The sequence below is a fragment of the Homo sapiens genome, chromosome 7, assembly GCF_000001405.40.
Source record: "Homo sapiens chromosome 7, GRCh38.p14 Primary Assembly".
Taxonomy (NCBI): domain Eukaryota; kingdom Metazoa; phylum Chordata; class Mammalia; order Primates; family Hominidae; genus Homo; species Homo sapiens.
Genome location: NC_000007.14, coordinates 57,036,770 through 57,054,504, shown reverse-complemented (window position 1 = coordinate 57,054,504; position 17,735 = coordinate 57,036,770).

Genomic DNA, 17,735 nt, shown 5'->3' with positions numbered 1-17,735 from the left:
TAAGCCTACATCTGAGCAGATTTCAGTCCCCTCCTATAATCCCAATCTCGTGGTTTTTCACGGATCTTACAAAGATAGTTTCAGTACTGAGACAAGGAGGGGTTCAGTTTTAGAAAGGGAGTCCTATTATCCTTGATTCAAAGTCAAACTGTAAATTAAATTTCTCCCATGGTTAGGTTGGTCTATGCCAAGAATGAACAAAGGCAGCTTGGAGGTTAGAAGCAAAATGGAATCAGGTCAGATTTCTTTCCCTGTCATAATTTTTCTATGTCATGTTTCTCTCACTGTCATACTTTTTGCAAAGGTGGTTTCAATCATAACGAAGATACCTGAGCTACAACATTTCCAAGTTTTTTTTGGTTTGTTTTTTTGTTTTTGAGACAGAGTCTTGCTCTGTTGCCCAGGCTGGAGTGCAGTGGCGCCATCTCGGCTCACTGCAAGCTCTGCCTCCCGGGTTCACACCATTCTCCTGCCTCAGCCTCCCAAGTAGCTAGGACTACAGGCGCCTGCCACCACACCTGGCTAATTTTTTGTATTTTTAGTAGAGACGGGTTTCACCGTGTTAGCCAGGATGGTCTCGATCTCCTGACCTCGTGATCCGCCCGCCTCGGCCTCCCAAAGTGCTGGGATTACAGGCCTGAGCCACCACGCTCGGCCCATTTCCAAGTTTTATCAGCATCTCTTCTAGAGATTAAACAGGTACTGCACAGGGTTGACCTTCAAACCATAGGTGGAATGAACAGAAGCTTGTGCGTGGCCCACATGAGAAAAGATGGCACATCCTGTGGTCTTCCACGAAGTGTCTCTAGCAGTCATGGTGGCAGCATTCCAGCAAAGGGTAGCTAAGGGCTGCAGGATAGAAAATTCCGAAAGCAATGATTTCTTCCAGTTGTGCAGTGGAAGCCTTCTCCTGCAAGAAAGAAACCAAAGCAAAGATCAGACTACAAGCAGCAAGGTCAGAGTCCATGGGGAGAAAGTTTACAGGCACCTTCCCACAGAAAGCCAAACATCAGGAGCCAGAAGAGAAAGCTTCCTAAAGAAGCCAGAGAAGTCAAGACTAGCCCCACCTGGCTGGAATTTCCAGAGACAAACGTTAAACCACAGCCTGAAAATGCAGTTGCATGTTTCAACCCGGTCTTATCCTCTAGGTGAGGCTAGACCCTGCCTGCCTGGTCTCATGCTTATTACTCTGTGCAACGTAGGTGGACAAGAAATACCCCTGGAAGGACCTGGGAGGGGAAAATAATGCCACCTTCAGTTTCGGTTTTCAGAAAGGGGTTCGCAAGGAAAGTACATTTGTCCAGGAATCAGGTCTGAGTGCCATAGCCCAGTACACAGGCTATGGAACCAGCAAATTTGAGTTCCAATCCAAAACTCTGTCTCCGAACCAGATTAAGAGACAGGGTCCTAGGCCATGTCAACATGTCATACATCAGAAATGTGGTGTCTGTTCTGGACTTCTGCTTTGCTGGTTTGCCCTTAACATGGTAGGTGATATGCTGATCCTGACTCATCGAATAAATAGTGAACAAATATTTAAAAGAGGTACAAGGCTGGGTGTGGTGGCTCACACCTGTAATTGCAACACTTTGGGAGGCCAAGGCAAGAGGATTGGTTCAACCCAGTTCGAGACCAGCCGAGCAATATATTGAGACCACCATCTCTGCAAAATAAAAAAAAAATAATTAGCCAGGTGTGGTGGTGCGTACCTGTAGTCCCTGCTACTCATCAGGCTGAGGTGGGAGGATTGCTTGAGCAGGGGAGGTCGAGGCTGCAGTGAGCTATGATCATGCCACTGCACTCCAGCCTGGGTGACAGAGCAAGACTCTATCTCAGAAAAAAAAAGAGAGATATAAACATTTTAACATTATTTTATGAAATGTTATAAAAAATAAAAATTACAAACTTATCCTGGGTGTTCTGTCCTCTCTGCTCTGCTTCTTCTAACTGGGTGATCTTAGGACAGATGTTTAATGCCTCCAAGCCTCACTCTTCTCATCTGCAAGAATGTAATAGGTCCTGTAATCCCAGCACTTTGGAAGGTGAGGCAGGTGAATCACTTGAGATCAGGAGTTCGAGACCAGCCTGACCGACATGGTGAAACCCCGTCTCTACTAAAAATACAAAAATTAAGCCAGGTGTGGTGGTGGATGCGTGTAATCCCAGCTACTTGGGAGGCTGAGGCAGAATTGCTTGAAAGCAGGAGGCGGAGGTTGCAGTGAACCAAGATCATGCCACTGCACTCCAGCCTGGGTGACAGAGTGAGACTCCATCTCCAAAATAAACAAAAAAAAGAATGCAATAGGAAGTGCAATATTTTTCCTAAGGCTGTTCAAGGGGTGAGTGGCGGGTGTTCTATAAATTGTGATTATTCATCCCTAGCTCTGCCAGTAAGTGTTTGCTCTTACATAGCTCACTTTTCCTTTCCGAAGTTCAGTGTTCTCACATGCAAAATGGGGGGTTCAGACCAGATAACCCCTAAGAAGTAAAAGCGAGCTTTCTGTTTTTCATTGTGCTGTGTTTCCAAAGCAGCACCTGGTGAGAAAGCAAGCGGTGCCCCACCTGGAAGCAGGAAGAGAACTAGTGTCTTGAGGTTACTGTGTTAGTCCATTTTGCATTGCTATAAGGCAATACCTGAGACTGGGTAATTAGAGAGAAAAGAGGTTTATTTGGCTCATGGTTCTGCAGGCTGTCCAAGAAGCATGGTGCCAGTGTCTGCTTCTGGTGAGGACCTCAGGAAGCTTCCAATCATGGTAGAAGGTGAATGAGGAGCCAGTGAATCACATGGAGAGAGAGGAAGCAAGAAAGAGAGGAGGAGGTGCCAGGCTCCTTTAAACAACCAGCTCTTCATGCCTGTAATTCCTGCCCTTTGGGGGGCTAAGGCGGATGGATCACATGGTCAGGAGATTGAGACCATCCTGGCTAACACAGTGAAAACCCATCTCTACTAAAAATATAAAAAATTAGCCAGGCGGGGTGGTGGGCGCCTGTAGCCCCAGCTACTCATAAGGCTGAGGCAGGTGAATCGCTTGAACCCGGGAGGTGGAGGTTGCAGTGAGCTGACATCATGCCACTGCAATTCTGCCTGGGTGACAGAGCGAGACTCTGTCTCAAAATAAATTAAAAAAAAAAATAGCTGGATGTTCTGTTGTGCACCTGTAGAACTAGCTTCTTGGGAGGGAGAGGGAGGAGGATGGCTCGATCCCAGGAGTTCAAGGCTGCAGTGAGCTATGATTGTGCCATTGCACTACAGCCTGGGCAACAGATCAATTTGAGACAGAGTCTCACCCTGTCACCCAGGCTGGAGTGCAGTGGCATGATCTCGGCTCACTGCAAGCTCTGCCTCCCGGGTTCATGCCATTCTCCTACCTGAGCCTCCAGGTTAGCCGGGACTACAGGCACCCGCCACCATGCCCGGCTAATTTTTTGTATTTTTTAGGAGAGATGGGGTTTCACCGTGTTAGCCATGACAGTCTCGGTCTCCTGACCTCGTGATCCACCTGCCTTGGCCTCCCAAAGTGCTGAGATTACAGGTGTGAGTCACCGTGCCAGGCCCAAGATGTGATCCGCCTGCCTCGGCCTCCCAAAGTGCTGGGATTACAGGTGTGAGCCACCAGGCCCAGCCCAAGACCTGTCACTCTGTCGCCCAGGCTGGAGTGCAGTGGAGCAATCTCGGCTCACTGCCAGCTCTGCCTCACGGGTTCACGCCATTCTCCTGCCTCAGCCTCCTGAGTAGCTGGGACTACAGGCACCCACCACCATGCCAGGCTAATTTTTTTTGTATTTTTAGTAGAGACGGGGTTTCACCATGTTAGCCAGGATGGTCTGGATCTCCTGACCTCGTGATCTGCCCTCCTCGGCCTCCCAAAATGCTGGGATTACAGGCGTGAGCCACCGCACCCGGCCAAGACCTGTCTTAAAAAAAAAATTCGTGGCCGGGCATGGTGGCTCACACCTGTAATCCCAGCACTTTGGGAGGCCGAGGTAGGCGGATCACGAGGTCAGGAGATGGAGACCATCCTGGCTAACAGGTGAAACCCCATCTCTAATTAAAATACAAAAAATTAGCCAGTTGTGGTGGTGGGCACCTGTAGTCCCAGCTACTCAGGAGGCTGAGGCAGAAGAATGCACCACCACACTCCAGCCTGGGCAACAGAGCAAGACTCCATCTCAAAAAAAAAAAAAAAAAATTCATGTTGGAAAGGGTTTTTAATTTTTAGTAGATATGAGTTCTCGCTATGTTGCCCAGCCTCTCTCGAATTTCTGAGCTCAGGCAATCCTCCCAGCTTGGCCTCTCAAAGTGCTGGGATTACAGGTGTGGGCCACCATGCCTGGCTGGAAAGGAGTCTTATTGGACAAGCCAAAAGCTGTTTCCCATGATAATAATCTCTCCATTAGGAAGATGTATATCCAATAACTGGCCTTACAGCTTAGCTATGCTTTTCATCATCGATGTATTAATACAATGTCATTGTAATTCTGGACAGGAAACTGGATTAAGCCACTTTTCTTTCTTTCTTTTTTTTTTTTTTTTTTGAGATGGAGTCTCGCTCTGTTGTCCAGGCTGGAGTGCAGTGGCGTGATCTCAGCTCACTGCAAGCTCTGCCTCCTGGGTTCACGCCATTCTCCTGTCTCAGCCTCCCGAGTAGCTGGGACTACAGGCACCCACCACCATGCCTGGCTAATTTTTTGTATTTTTAGTAGAGATGGGGATTCACCATGTTAGCCAGGATGGTCTCTATCTCCTGACCTCGTGATCCGCCTACTTCAGCCTCCCAGAGTGCTGGGATTACAGGCGTGAGACACCACACCCGGCCCTTCAGCCACTTTTCAAATGCCAGGGTAGGGCGCTTCCCAGGTTTTAACTTACAGAAGAACCCTGATGTGTCAAGTTGATACATTTCTTTCTTTCTTCTTCTTTTTTTTTTTCTTTTGACGTAGTCTCTCTCTGTTACCCAAGCTGGAGTGTAGTGGCGCAATCTCAGCCCACTGCACCCTCTCCCTCCCAGGTTCAAGCAATTCTCATGCCTCAGCCTCCCGAGTAGCTGGAATTACAGGAGTGCACCACCACGCCCAGCTAATTTTTGAATTTTACTAGAAATGGGGTTTGTCCATGTTGGCCAGGCTGGTCTGAAACTCCTGACCTGAAATGATCCGCCTGCCTCGATCTCCCAAAGTGCTGAGATTACAGGTGTGAGCCACTGCGCCCAGCCCAGCTGGTAAATTTCTGAGTTTAGTGAAAGTTAAAATGGCAGCTCGATTGTTTAAAACAATGTGATGAGAAGAACGTCTTTGTCTATGTGTGTCAACCCCATGGGATCTGCGTGGCATCCCTCAAGTTGGTGAAAAATATTTACCATATAATAGAGAATAAAAGATTCTCACCACTAACTGATAATCCTGCTAAACAGCAGCTGCTTTTAAAGGGAGTAGACAATCATTGAAATCCAGGTAACTTTAAAGAATTCACCAGCCGGAATCTGTAGGTCCAGAGTATTTTATAAAAGATCAGGTCTCTTTGTAGAGGGAGGTAGCAAGGTTAATATAATGAAGTACAATTTGCTGCTATACTAGACATGTAATCTAATAACAGTATAGTATGATAAGAAAATTTAAATATGTAGTTTTGAAAAGGTTTCAGAAGGGCTCAATGGTTCTGCATCAGAAAGTGAATTTCAGTAACAAGAGGAGACTCAAGGCAGGGCTAATTAGAAGGCTCAGGGGACATTCACAGGGTCAATTAGGCTGTTCACACAATCTTCCTTAAATGGATCAGAAAGCCTAGGGCAGAGATACTGTGAACTAGAAAAATGAAAAGGGTCAACAATTCAACAGTAAAGAGAAATTTCAGTTAAGAGTTATATCTAATGTAAATGAGGAGTTAATGGGTGCAGCAAACCAACACGGCACATGTATACATATGTAACAGATCTGCACGTTTTGCACATGTACCCTAGAACTTAAAGTATAACAATAATAATAATTTTAAAAAGTTATATCAGTAAACATAATTAGGCCAAATTTACCCATAAAAATAAAATACATATTTTTTAAAAAACCCAAAAAGGGTGGTAGAAACACATTTTGAGTAAAAAGGCGATGATTAACTAGATTTTTTTTTTGAGATGGGATCTCACTTTGTTGCCCAGGCTGGGGTGCAATGGCACGATCTTGGCTCACTGCAGCCTTGACCTCCTGGGCTTAAGCAATCCTCCCTCCTCAGTCTCCCAAGTAGCTAAGACTATGGTGAGCACCACCATGCCCAGCTAATTTAATTTTTTTAGAGAGATGATCTTGCTACGTTACCCAGGCTGGTCTCCAGCTCCTGGGCTCAAGTGATCCTCCTGCCTTGGCCTCTCAAAGTGTTGAGGTTATAGGTGTGCACCAGTGTGCTTGGCCAACTAGATTTTTTTTAAAGGCTAATTAAGGCAAGGTTTGAAGCCAGACTAACCAATATTATATGTGGCATAATAATGTTAGGGAGAAATAAGAAATGCTAAACAGCACAGTAAATAGAAACATGAGCTTCAACTTCTCTTAAATAATCAAGTAAGAAAATCTATAAAATATGTAAAATAAAAATGGAATGAAATGTACTGTATAAAAGTGTAATCCTACTATTAGGTCGGTGCAAAAGTATTTGCAGTTTTGCCGTTACTTTTTTTTTTGAGATGAAATCTCGCTCTTGTCCCCCAGGCTGGAGTGCAGTGGTGTGATCTCGGCTCACTGCAACCTCCACCTCCCACGTGCAAGCAATTCTCTTGCCTCGGCCCCCCAAGTAGCTGGAATTACAGGCACCTGCCACCATGCCTGGCTAATTTTTGTATTTTTTAGTAGAGACGGGGTTTCACCAAGTTGGCCAGGCTGGTCTAGGACTCCTGACCTCAGGTGATCCACCTGCCTCAGCCTCCCAAAGTCCTGGGATTACAGGCGTGAGCCACCGTGCCTGGCCTACTTCTTTTTTTTTTTTTGAGATGGACTTTCACCATTCTCACCCAGGCTGGAGTGCAGTGGCATGACCTATGCTCACTGTAACCTCTGCCCCCTGGGTTCAAGCAATTCTCATGCCTCAGCCTCCCCAATAGCTGGAATTACAGGCACCCACTACCACGCACAGCTAATTTTTGTATTTTTGGTAGAGGCGGAGTTTTGCCGTGTTGGCCAGGATGGTCTTGAAATCCTGACCTCAGGTGATGTGCCTGCCTCGGCCTCCCAAAGTGCTGGGATTACAGGCGTGAGCCACCGCACCCGACCTGCCATTACTTTTAATGGCAATAACTGCAATTACTTTTGCACTGACCTAATAGAAAACTAACTACCCCACTAGGAGAATCTCACACAGTTGTGGGGTTTTAATCCCATGGAATCTAGAAACCACTTCACAGTTCAATTTACAGAGGGGAAATCACTGGAGCATTTGGTTAACATGGAAAAGGACACAGACTTAAACCAAGAGCCTCCACAATTCTTCCCAGAGCTATAATAGAATGCTCCTCTTGAAAACAGGAATGAAAGAAAAGGATCAGAGGCTCTGAGTGTCACAAAGGGTGCACATTCACTACTTGTAGGTAATGCAGTCTCATGCAATCCAAGGGATTCACTTGAGCAAATGGACTGGGACAATCATGGGTTCAGCAAAGCGCTATGTTTCTTGGTAAAGACAAGAAAATAACAAACTCCCCTATACCAGTAATAAACATCCACAAAATAAAATAAAAGATCTTTCTCATTTACAACAGGGATAAACATATAAGCATGTGGGAATTAAAATAATGTAGTATAAATTCCACCAATAGAAAAATCAGATTACAAAATGCTTGGAGCAAAGGAAAAGAATGATACATTTCTTAGTGCAGTTGCATTAAATATAAAGAAACATACATTTCTTTCCCAAGTTAATTTATAAAAGTTGGTAAAATGGCTGGACATGGTGGCTCATGCCTGTAATCCCGCACTTTGGGAGGCTAAGGCGGGCAGATCTCGAGGTCAGGAGTTTGAGACCAGCCTGCCCAACATGGTGCAACCCCGCCTCCACTAAAAATACAAAAATTAGCTTCGCATGGTAGTGGGTGCCTGTAATCCCAGCTACTCAGGAGGCTGAGGCAGGAGGAAGGAGAATCACTTGAACCCATGAAGCAGAGGTTGCAGTGAGCCAAGATCACACCACTGCCACTCCAGCCTGGGTGGCAGAATGAGACTCCGTCTCCAAAAAAAAAAAAAAAAAAAAGTTGGTAAAATGATGAGATGCATAGAGAAAAAATAGGTGCCCAAAATACTAAAGGTCGTTGTTTTTGTTTAAAGTAAAAACAATAGTAAACTGGCTATACAAGATATTGAAATAGAAAACAAGGAGACTTCATCAAAAGAGTGTGGCACTTATTAGAGTGAAAAACTAGACTGATAGAATGAAATTATAGACAGAAATCCAGATGTATGTGTAATTATGCCCGATTTGTCAGATATTATTTATCGGGGGAAGAAGTCATCAATATTATTGGGCAAACTGAGTATTAAAGAATAAGAAAAAGAAACAGATATTACTCTATATGCTATAATAAACTTCAGACAAGTTAAAGATACAATAAATCACTGAAGAATAAGAAAATGGATTGAGGAGAAAAGACTGTTTTCTTTTCTTTTTTTTTTTTTGAGACGGAGTCTCATGCTGTCTCCCAGGCTGGGGTGCAGTGGCATGATCTCAGCTCACTGTAACCTCCACCTCCCGGGTTCAAGGATTCTCCTGCTTCAGCCTCCCAAGTAGCTGGGATTATAGGCATTCACCACCACACTGGGGTAATTTTTGTATTTAGAGTACAGATAGGGTTTCACCATGTTGGACAGGCTGGTCTTGAACTCCTGACCTCAAGTGATCCACCCACCTTGGCCTCCCAAAGTGCCAGAATTACAGGCATGAGCCACCATGCCCGACCTGAAAAGACTATTTTCCATCATTGAAACCATATTAGAAATGATGAAGGATAAGATTGATGGGACCTATCTTATTTATATATATTATTATTTATGTGTGGTTGTACAAACACACACACACACACACACACAAGTTGACCCTTGAATATGGGTCTGAACAGTATGGTTCCACTTCACCTTGAATATTTTTTGGTAAAATTACACTGAGTGTGCCTGGCTCCCCTCCCACCTCCTCCTCTGCTGTCACCAGAGACAGCAAGACCAACCCTCCTCTTCCTCTTCCTTGGCCTACTTGATGTGAAGACAACGGGGATGAAGACCTTTTTGATGATCCACTTCCACTTAACAGAAAGTGTGTTTTCTTATCCTTAGGATTTCCTTAACATTTTCTTTTCTCTACCTTACTTTATTGGAAGAATATTGTATATAACGTATGTAACTTACAAAACATCTTAATCGCCAGTTTATGTAACTGGTAAGGCTTCCGGTCACTAACAGGCTGTCAGTAAAACTTTTGAGGAGTCAAAAGTTGTACTTGGATTTTTCACTGTGTGAGGGTCAGTACCTCTAACCCCTGTGTTGTTCAAAGGTCAACTATATATGATTCTTCTGGACAGTGAAAATCACTAAAACTCGAGTGAAAAGAAAGGCAATTAACTGACAGGTAAAGTAATCATAAATGTGAGTGAGTAGCTAAAATCCAGAACATGTGTAGAATTACTACCCAGTTCCCACTGTACCCATCTTCACAGGATATAAGGAAACACAGAGAGAGTAAAATAAATAGGGATCGGGTGCTGTGGCTCACGTCTGTAATCCCAGCACTTTGGGAGGCAGAGGGGGAAGGATCACTTGAGCCCAGGAGTTCGAGACAGCCTGGGCAACATAGTGAGATCTCATCTCCAAAAATAAAAAAAATTAGCTGGGTGTGCTGGCACTTGCCTGTAGTCCCAGTTACTCAGGAGGCTGAGGTGGGAGGATCCCTTGAGCCCAGGAGGTCAAGGCTGCAGTGAGTGGTGATTGCACCACTGCATTCCAGCCTGGGTGACAAAGCTAGATCCTGCCTCAAAACAAAGAAGCAAACAAATAAAAAGTCACGTGGTACAAAGTGGCACTGTGCAAAGCGGTGGGGCAAAGACAGAGGAGGATCCGGCCACAGGCATCAAGGCTCTGTTAATCTGACGCAGATGCTTAACCCTTCCTTTGCCATGGTCCCCTCTGGAAGTCTTGTAAAGAATACAGGCGTCTATTCACAATATTTTAAAGACTTAAGTCCATAAGTCTATTATAGGAAGTAAGCCTAATCATGTTTTAAGGACCAAGGAAAACAACTATTCTGAAGTGCAGTTATTGCAATTTATTTTTTATTTTTTATTTTTTCTGAGACTGACTCTAGTTCTGTTGCCCAAGGCTGGAGTGCAGTGGTGTGATCTCAGCTCACTGCAACATCCACCTCCTGGGTTCAAGTGATTCTCCTTCCTCAGCCTCCTGAGTAGCTGGGAGGCCTGCTACCACACCTAGTGAATTTTTTATACTTTTAGTAGAGATGAGGTTTCACCATGTTGGTCAGACTGGACTAAACGCCTAACCTCAAGTGATCTGCCCACCTTGGCTTCCCAGAGTGTTGGGATTACAGGCATGAGCCACTGTGCCCAGACAATACTTTTCTAAAACCAGATTTGTGATATAGGAACAACTGTTCTTTACTGTTGCTCTAAATATCTAAGAACCGCTGACATTTTGAAGATGAATCCAAACAGCGTTTGTGATCCCTGCAACAACGGGAATGAGATGTGAAAGCCTCTGTGATTTCCACTCACAGCAAGGTCACGGTCTGCAATTAGCTCGGTGTGGGGGCTTCATTTGCAATGGAAGGAAATGCTACATTGCAGTTAGACATTGATGGAAATAAAGATATATTTTTTCTGGGTTCAATTCGTGAAGCTCTCGGGTTCTCTCTATAGACCCCACATGAAAAGCCCCTAGAATGGGGGAGACCAGAGCCCTCTTTCACCAGAGCAGGTAAGTGTGGGCACAGGAGCAGGCAAGGCAGGGCAGGATCTGCTTGTCAGGAAAGGTGGAACCAGCTGTAAGATGAGCTGGGGAAAGGGCCTGGGATTCCACAGGATGGGGAAATTCGATTTAGCATAAGATGAGGCTGGGAAGGCAGGGCTGTATCCCAAAATGCCTGTGCATCATGCTGTGATTTTGGACTTGCCCTTAGAGACGAGAGAGCGCGCCACGGAGAGATTTTAAGTGGGACAGGTTTTAGCAGGATCAGACATATTTTAGAAAGATAATTTTAGCAGATGCATGGAGGGTGGTTTTGTCCAGGGAGAAACTGGTGGCACAGGGTCAAGTTTGGAAGATCTTGAAGAAGTGAGACCAAGAGATGAAAAACAAATTAAGGCCGGGAATGGTGGCTCACACTTGTAATTCCAGCACTTTGGGAGGCTGAGGCAGGTGAATCACTTGAGGTCAGGAGTTCATGACCAGCCTGGCCAACATGGTGAAACTCCGTCACTACTAAAAATACAAAAATTAGCCAGGTGTGGTAGTGGGTGTCTGTAATCCCCACTACTCGGGAACTTAAGGCAGGAGAATTGCTTGAACCTGGGAGGTGGAGGTGTCAATAAGCAGAGATTGTGCCACTGTACTCCAGGTTGGGTGACACAGCGAGACCCTGTCTCAAAAAATAAAAAAAAGAGAGAAAAAAGAAAAGAGAAGGAAAACACATTAAAATGACAGTAGTAAGAGAGGCGATGAAGTTGGGAATGTACAATATTGCCAGAACTAACACGAATTAGACAGGAGGGCTCACAAAGGAGTGAAGAAATACCATCCATTTCTGGACTGAAGGAGGAGCAGATATCGCTGGGCAGAGGAAAAAAGCAGAAGGGGCTGACTATAGGGAAGGGGGAAGTTATGGAGAATAACAAGTTAAGCTGAGTTTGAGATGCTCATGGTAGAAATGTCTAGTAAGGAACTGAAAATACAGAGGTTTTTCTATTGGGAAAGGAAACTTTTCTTTTTTATTATTATACTTTAAGTTTTAGGGTACATGTGCACAGTGTGCAGGTTAGTTACATATGTATACCTGTGCCATGCTGGTGCGCTGCACCCACTAACTTGTCATCTAGCATTAGGTGTATCTCCCAATGCTATCCCTCCCCCCTCCCCCCACCCCACAACAGTCCCCAGAGTGTGATGTTCCCCTTCCTGTGTCCATGTGATCTCATTGTTCAATTCCCACCTATGAGTGAGAATATGCGGTGTTTGGTTTTTTGTTCTTGCGATAGTTTACTGAGAATGATGATTTCCAATTTCATCCATGTCCCTACAAAGGACATGAACTCATCATTTTTTATGGCTGCATAGTATTCCATGGTGTATATGTGCCACATTTTCTTAATCCAGTCTATCATTGTTGGACATTTGGCTTGGTTCCAAGTCTTTGCTATTGTGAATAATGCCGCAATAAATATACGTGTGCATGTGTCTTTATAGCAGCATGATTTATAGTCCTTGGGTATATACCAGTAATGGGATGGCTGGGTCAAATGGTATTTCTAGTTCTAGATCCCTGAGGAATCACCACACTGACTTACACAAGGGTTGAACTACTTTACAGTCCCACCAACAGTGTAAAAGTGTTCCTATTTCTCCACATCCTCTCCAGCACCTGTTGTTTCCTGACTTTTTAAAGATTGCCATTCTAACTGGTGTGAGATGGTATCTCATTATTGTTTTGATTTGCATTTCTCTGATGGCCAGTGATGATGAGCATTTTTTCATGTGTTTTTTGGCTGCATAAATGTCTTCTTTTGAGAACTGTCTGTTCATGTCCTTCGCCCACTTTTTGATGGGGTTGTTTGTTTTTTTCTTGTAAATTTGTTTGAGTTCATTGTAGATTCTGGATATTAGCCCTTTGTCAGATGAGTAGGTTGCGAAAATTTTCTCCCATTCTGTAGGTTGCCTGTTCACTCTGATGGTAGTTTCTTTTGCTGTGCAGAAGCTCTTTAGTTTAATTAGATCCCATTTGTCAATTTTGGCTTTTGTTGCCATTGCTTTTGGTGTTTTAGACATGAAGTCCTTGCCCATGCCTATGTCCTGAATGGTAATGCCTAGGTTTTCTTCTAGGGTTTTTATGGTTTTAGGTCTAACGTTTAAGTCTTTAATCCATCTTGAATTGATTTTTGTATAAGGTGTAAGGAAGGGATCCAGTTTCAGCTTTCTACATATGGCTAGCCAGTTTTCCCAGCACCATTTATTAAATAGGGAATCCTTTCCCCATTGCTTGTTTTTCTCAGGTTTGTCAAAGATCAGATAGTTGTAGATATGCGGCATTATTTCTGAGGGCTCTGTTCTATTCCATTGATCTATATCTCTGTTTTGGTACCAGTACCATGCTGTTTTGGTTACTGTAGCCTTGTAGTATAGTTTGAAGTCAGGTAGTGTGATGCCTCCAGCTTTGTTCTTTTGGCTTAGGATTGACTTGGCGATGCGGGCTCTTTTTTGGTTCCATATGAACTTTAAAGTAGTTTTTTCCAATTCTGTGAAGAAAGGCATTGGTAGCTTAATGGGGATGGCATTGAATCTGTAAATTACCTTGGGCAGTATGGCCATTTTCACGATATTGATTCTTCCTACGCATGAACATGGAATGTTCTTCCATTTGTTTGTATCCTCTTTTATTTCTTTGAGCAGTGGTTTGTAGTTCTCCTGGAAGAGGTCCTTCACATCCCTTGTAAGTTGGATTCCTAGGTATTTTATTCTCTTTGAAGCAATTGTGAAAGGGAGTTCACTCGTGATTTGGCTGTTTGTCTGTTGTTTGTGTATAAGAATGCTTGTGATTTTTGTACATTGATTTTGTATCCTGAGACTTTGCTGAAGTTGCTTATCAGCTTAAGGAGATTTTGGATTGAGACAATGGGGTTTTCTAGATATACAATCATGTTGTCTGTAAACAGGGACAATTTGACTTCCTCTTTTCCTAATTGAATACCCTTTATTTCCTTCTCCTGCCTAATTGCCGTGGCCAGAACTTCCAACACTATGTTGAATAGGAGTGGTGAGAGAGGGCATCCCTGTCTTGTGCCAGTTTTCAAAGGGAATGCTTCCAGTTTTTGCCCATTCAGTATGATATTGGCTGTGGGTTTGTCATAGATAGCTCTTATTATTTTGAAATACATCCCATCAATACCTAATTTATTGAGAGTTTTTAGCATGAAGCGTTGTTGAATTTTGTCAAAGGCCTTTTCTACATCTATTGAGATAATCGTGGTTTTTGTCTTTGGCTCGGTTTATATGCTGGATTACATTTATTGATTTGCATATACTGAACCAGCCTTGCATCCCAGGGATGAAGCCCACTTGATCATGGTGGATAAGCTTTTTGATGTGCTGCTGGATTCGTTTTGCCAGTATTTTATTGAGGATTTTTGCATCAATGTTCATCAAGGATATTGGTCTAAAATTCTCTTTTTTGGTTGTGTCTCTGCCCGGCTTTGGTATCAGAATGATGCTGGCCTCATAAAATGAGTTAGGGAGGATTCCCTCTTTTTCTATTGATTGGAATAGTTTCAGAAGGAATGGTACCAGTTCCTCCTTGTACCTCCGGTAGAATTCGGCTGTGAATCCATCTGGTCCTGGACTCTTTTTGGTTGGTAAGCTATTGATTATTGCCATAATTTCAGATCCTGTTATTGGTCTATTCAGAGATTCAACTTCTTCCTGGTTTAGTCTTGGGAGAGTGTATGTGTCAAGGAATTTATCCATTTCTTCTAGGGTTTCTAGTTTATTTGCGTAGAGGTGTTTGTAGTATTCTCTGATGGTAGTTTGTATTTCTGTGGGATCGGTGGTGATATCCCCTTTATCATTTTTTATTGCATCTATTTGATTCTTCTCTCTTTTTTTATTAGTCTTGCTAGCGGTCTATCAATTTTGTTGATCCTTTCAAAAAACCAGCTCCTGGATTCATTAATTTTTTGAAGGGTTTTTTGTGTCTCTATTTCCTTCAGTTCTGCTCTGATTTTAGTTATTTCTTGCCTTCTGCTAGCTTTTGAATGTGTTTGCTCTTGCTTTTCTAGTTCTTTTAATTGTGATGTTAGGGTTTCAATTTTGGATCTTTCCTGCTTTCTCTTGTGGGCATTTAGTGCTATAAACTTCCCTCTACACACTGCTTTGAATGCGTCCCAGAGATTCTGGTATGTTGTGTCTTTGTTCTCATTGGTTTCAAAGAACATCTTTATTTCTGCCTTCATTTTCTTATGTACCCAGTAGTCATTCAGGAGCAGGTTGTTCAGTTTCCATGTAGTTGAGCGGTTTTGAGTGAGATTCTTAATCCTGAGTTCTAGTTTGATTGCACTGTGGTCTGAGAGATAGTTTGTTATAATTTCTGTTCTTTTACATTTGCTGAGGAGAGCTTTACTTCCAACTATGTGGTCAATTTTGGAATAGATGTGGTGTGGTGCTGAAAAAAATGTATATTCTGTTGATTTGGGGTGGAGAGTTCTGTAGATGTCTATTAGGTCCACTTGGTGCAGAGCTGAGTTCAATTCCTGAGTATCCTTGTTGACTTTCTGTCTCGTTGATCTGTCTAACGTTGACAGTGGGGTGTTAAAGTCTCCCATTATTAATGTGTGGTAGTCTAAGTCTCTTTGTAGGTAACTCAGGACTTGCTTTATGAATCTGGGTGCTCCTGTATTGGGTGCATATATATTTAGGATAGTTAGCTCTTCTTGTTGAATTGATCCCTTTACCATTATGTAATGGCCTTCTTTGTCTCTTTTGATCTTTGTTGGTTTAAAGTCTGTTTTATCAGAGACTAGGATTGCAACCCCTGCCCTTTTTTGTTTTCCATTGGCTTGGTAGATCTTCCTCCATCCTTTTATTTTGAGCCTATGTGTGTCTCTGCACGTGAGATGGGTTTCCTGAATACAGCACACTGATGGGTCTTGACTCTTTATCCAATTTGCCAGTCTGTGTCTTTTAATTGGAGCATTTAGTCCATTTACATTTAAAGTTAATATTGTTATGTGTGAATTTGATCCTGTCATTATGATGTTAGCTGGTTATTTTGCTCGTTAGTTGATGCAGTTTCTTCCTAGTCTCCATGGTCTTTACATTTTGGCATGATTTTGCAGCAGCTGGTACCGGTTGTTCCTTTCCATGTTTAACCCTTCCTTCAGGAGCTCTTTTAGAGCAGGCCTGGTGGTGACAAAATCTCTCAGCATTTGCTTGTCTGTAAAGGATTTTATTTCTCCTTCACTTATGAAGCTTAGTTTGGCTGGATATGAAATTCTGGGTTGAAAATTCTTTTCTTTAAGAATGTTGAATATTGGCCCCCACTCTCTTCTGGCTTGTAGGGTTTCTGCTGAGAGATCCGCTGTTAAGTCTGATGGGCTTCCCTTTGAGGGTAACCCGACCTTTCTCTCTGGCTGACCTTAACATTTTTTCCTTCATTTCAACTTTGGTGAATCTGACAATTATGTGTCTTGGAGTTGCTCTTCTCGAGGAGTATCTTTGTGGCATTCTCTGTATTTCCTGAATCTGAACGTTTGCCTGCCTTGCTAGATTGGGGAAGTTCTCCTCGATAATATCCTGCAGAGTGTTTTCCAGCTTGGTTCCATTCTCCCCATCACTTTCCGGTACACCAATCAGATGTAGATTTGGTCTTTTCACATAGTCCCATATTTCTTGGAGGCTTTGCTCATTTCTTTTTCTTCTTTTTTCTCTAAACTTCCCTTCTCGCTTCATTTCATTCATTTCATCTTCCATTGCTGATACCCTTTCTTCCAGTTGATCGCATCGGCTCCTGAGGCTTCTGCATTCTTCACGTAGTTCTCGAGCCTTGGTTTTCAGCTCCATCAGCTCCTTTAAGCACTTCTCTGTATTGGTTATTGTAGTTATACATTCTTCTAAATTTTTTTCAAAGTTTTCAACTTCTTTGCCTTTGGTTTGAATGTCCTCCTGTAGCTCGGAGTAATTTGATCATCTGAAGCCTTCTTCTCTCAGCTTGTCAAAGTCATTCTCCATCCAGCTTTGTTCCGTTGCTGGTGAGGAACTGCATTCCTTTGGAGGAGGAGAGGCGCTCTGCTTTTTAGCGTTTCCAATTTTTCTGTTCTGTTTTTTCCCCATCTTTGTGGTTTTATCTACTTTTGGTCTTTGATGATGGTGATGTATAGATGGGTTTTTGGTGTGGATGTCCTTTCTGTTTGTTAGTTTTCCTTCTAACAGACAGGACCCTCAGCTGCAGGTCTGTTGGAGTACCCTGCCGTGTGAGGTGTCAGTGTGCCCCAGCTGGGGGGTGCCTCGCAGTTAGGCTGCTCGGGGGTCGGGGTCAGGGACCCACTTGAGGAGGCAGTCTGCCTGTTCTCAGATCTCCAGCTGTGTACTGGGAGAACCACTGCTCTCTTCAAAGCTGTCAGACAGGGACATTTAAGTCTGCAGAGGTTACTGCTGTCTTTTTGTTTGTCTGTGCCCTGCCTCCAGAGGTGGCGCCTACAGAGCCAGGCAGGCCTCCTTGAGTTGTGGTGGGTTCCACCCAGTTCGAGCTTCCCTGCTGCCTTGTTTACCTAAGCAAGCCTGGGCAATGGTGGGTGCCCCTCCCCCAGCCTCGCTGCCACCTTGCAGTTTGATCTCAGACTGCTGTGCTAGCAATCAGCGAGACTCCGTGGGTGTAGGACCCTCCGAGCCAGGTGTGGGATATAATCTCGTGATGCGCCGTTTTTTAAGCCCATCGGAAAAGCGCAGTATTTGGGTGGGAGTGACCCGATTTTCCAGGTGCTGTCCATCACCCCTTTCCT